Below are 3,510 nucleotides of genomic sequence, written 5' to 3' on the forward strand. Positions count from 1 at the left end.
ACCATTGAATCCTACCAACCTTTTAAATAAGAATTAATACCAGTTTTTCACAAAATTTTCAAAAAATAAAAGAGGAGAGAATATAAGTAATTCTATGAGGCCAGTATTACCATGACATCAAAACCAAACAAAGACATAACAAGGAAAGAAAATTACAGAGCAATATTTCTTATGAAAACTGACACAAAAATCCTCAAAAAAAATAATAAAACTAGCAAGCTGAATGTAGAAATTGGAGAAAGGATTGTACTGTATGAGCAAGTGAGATTATCACAGGGCCATCAGTTGTTTTAACATTGAAAATCAATCAGTATAATATACCATATTAACAGAATAAAGAATAAATATCACACAATTATCTCAATAGATAAAAAATTTCACAAAATTTAGTAAGCTATCGTGATGAAAACATTAAACAAACAAAAATACAAGGGAACTGTCTCAACCTGATAAACATCTATTAAAAAATCACAACTAACATCATGTTAATGATGAAAAATAGTATACAGATCAAGTTAAAATTTCCCCTTCACCTTCTGATTTTCAATTTTAAAAATCAGCTGATAAAAGGCAGATTAGTAGAGAAATGGTATACAAATTTATCAACATGCATGTGGAAGTACCAGAGAATGATTACCTCAACAATGGAGTACTAAGCTTGTATACCATTTTGAGGTTGCAGAAAGAATGGGTGCTTGGATAATGACAAAACAGGTTATTGTAGAGGGAGAAGAGAAGGCTTTGCTAGCAAAGGTGGCCTTGTTATGCAGATAAAACCTCACAGTAGCAGCCAACAGAGAGAATAAATGGTGAATATTTCTTTCAGACCTTCAAAGGTGTCAGCTTGTGAGTTAATTTTTCCTAGATCAGCTCTTAGAAAAAGTCTAGCTGCATCAATGGCAGATATTCTCTGCAGTTAAAAATCCTCCCACAAAAGACACATTTTAGCTATTCTTGTATTTTCAGTCCTTCTAGATAGCCAACTTGAATTATGTCATGAAATTGTAATTCGGGGTGAAATATTTTTGTTTCCTTCAGTTGCTTACTTTCCCTCTAAGATCAGCAACAAGGCAAGTATGTTTGCTTCTGCCTCTTCTGTTTAACACTTTATTGGAGATTCTAATCTTGACAAATAGGCAAAAAAAGAAATAAAAGGCATCCATATTTGAAATAAAGAAGTAAAACTTTATTTGCCAATGATATTATGGTCTTGTATATAAAGAATCCACTAGAAAACCATTAGAAATGATAAAATTTGGGCCAGGCCCTGTGGCTCACACCTGTAATCCCAGGACTTTGGGAGGCGGAGGTGGATGGATCATGAGGTCAAGAGATCGAGACCACCCTGGCCAACATGGTGAAACCCAGTCTCTACTAAAAATTCAAAAATTAGCTGGGCATGGTGGCATGCGCCTGTAGTCCCACCTACTCAGGAGGCTGAGGCAGGAGAATCTCTTGTACCTGGGAGGCAGAGGGTTGCAATGAGCTGAGATGGGGCCACTGTGCTCCAGCCTGGCGACACAGCGAGACTCCGTCTCCAAAAAAAAAAAAAAAAAAGAAAGAAAGAAGATAAAATTTGGCAGAGTTGTAGATACAAATATCCATACATTAACAGTGAACAATCTGAAAATAATATTAAGAAAATTTTATTTAGAATCATATAAAAGAATAAAATATTTAGGAATAAAGGACTAACTTTTTATTTCACTTATCTTTTGTAATTTTTATTTTCAATTTCATTTCCTTCTTCCCTGATCTTGCATATTTCTTTTCTTCTGTTGAGTTTGGGTTTGGTTTGTTCTTGTTTCTCTAGTTCCTTGAGGTGTGACCTTAGATTGTCTATTTGCGCTCTTTCAGACTTTTTGATGTAGGCATTTAATGCTATGAAATTTCCTCTTAGCATCTCCTTTAGTGTATCCTAGAGGTTTTGAAAGGTTGTGTCAATATTGTCATTTAGTTCAAAGAATTTTTTAATTTCCATATTGATGTCATTGTTGACCCAATCATCATTCAGGAGCAGTTTATTTAATTTCCATCTATTTGCATAGTTTTGAAGGTTCCTTTTGGAGTTGACTTCCAGTTTTATTTCACTGTGGTCTGAGAGAGTACTTGCTATAGTGTCGATTTCCTTAAATTCATTGAGACTTGTTTTGTGGCCTATCATATGGTCTATCTTGGAGAAAGTTCCATGCGCTGATGAATAGATGTATTTTCTGTGCTTGTTGGGTAGAATGTTCTGTAAATATCTGTTAAGTCTGTTTGTTCCAGGGTATAGTTTAAATTCATTGTTTCTTTGTTAACTTTTTGTCTTGGTGACCTGTCTAGTGCTGTCAGTGGAGTATTGGAGTCCCCCACTATTGTTGTGTTGCTGTCTATGTCATTTCTTAGGTCTAGTAGTAATTACTGTATAAATTTGGGAACTCCAGTGTTAGGTGCATATATATTTAGGATTGTGATATTTTCCTGTTGGACAAGGCCTTTTATCATTATATAATGTCCCTTTTTGTCTTTTCTAACTGCTGTTGCTTTGAAGTTTGTTTTGTCTAATAAAAGAACAGCTGCTCCTGCTTGCTTCTGGTGTCCATTCACATAGAATGACTTTTTCACCCCTCTATCTTAAGTTTACTTGAGTCCTTAAAGACATAAGAATGACACAATGGACTTCGGGGACACAGGGGAAAAAGGCAGGAAGGGGATGAAGGTTAAAAGACTACAAATTGGGTTCAGTGTATACTGTTCAGGTGATGAGTGCACCAAAATCTCACAGATCACCACTAAGGAACTTACTCATGTAACCAAATGCCACCTATTCCCCAAAAACCTATGGAAATAAAAAAAATTAAAAATTAAAGATGATATAAATAAATGGAGAGGCTTCCCATCTTCATAAATTAAAAGGCTTAATATTGCTTAAATAAAATATTATCCAAGTTGACATATAAATTCAACTAAATCTCTTTCAACATCCCAGTTGGCTTTTTGTTTTTCAGGAATTGCCAAGCTGATCCAAAAATTTGTATGAGAATTCAAGGGACACAGAAGAGCCAAACAATCTTGAAAAAGAACAAAGACAGAGAATTGTCACTTCTCAATTTAGAAACGTGAGAAAAATCTACAGTAATCAAGACACTGTAATACTGTGGTACTGGCACAAGTATAGACAGCTAACAATGGAGTAGAATGTTAAAGTCAGGAAATAAATCTTTACATTTATAGTTAATTGATTTTGAACAATGGTACCAAGAAAATAAAATGGGGCATAATAATTTTCAACAAACAATGCTGGGACAACTGGATACCCAAAAGAAAAAAGAAAGCAAGAGAGAGCGAGACTTAGCCATTTCTTCATACCATACATCAAAATTATCTTAAAATTAATCAGAGAGCTAAATATAAGAGCAAAAACTCTAAAACATAGGAGTAAATCTTTATAAATTTGAATTAGGTGATAATTTCTTAGATACAGCACCAAAAGTGCAAGCAACAAAAGAAAAAAAAATTCAACAAAAA

At 34.1% G+C, this 3,510-nt stretch overlaps 1 annotated feature.

Moving 5' to 3' along the window:
- Nucleotides 475–1,001: an enhancer, noted in NCBI's record as "OCT4-NANOG hESC enhancer chr1:80647066-80647592 (GRCh37/hg19 assembly coordinates)". NCBI's record gives its function as "activates a minimal SCP1, AML or CMV promoter by ChIP-STARR-seq in naive H9 embryonic stem cells {active_cell/tissue: H9 hESC(naive)}" and the evidence as "EXISTENCE:reporter gene assay evidence [ECO:0000049][PMID:30033119]".

The sequence above is a fragment of the Homo sapiens genome, chromosome 1, assembly GCF_000001405.40.
Source record: "Homo sapiens chromosome 1, GRCh38.p14 Primary Assembly".
Classification (NCBI taxonomy): domain Eukaryota; kingdom Metazoa; phylum Chordata; class Mammalia; order Primates; family Hominidae; genus Homo; species Homo sapiens.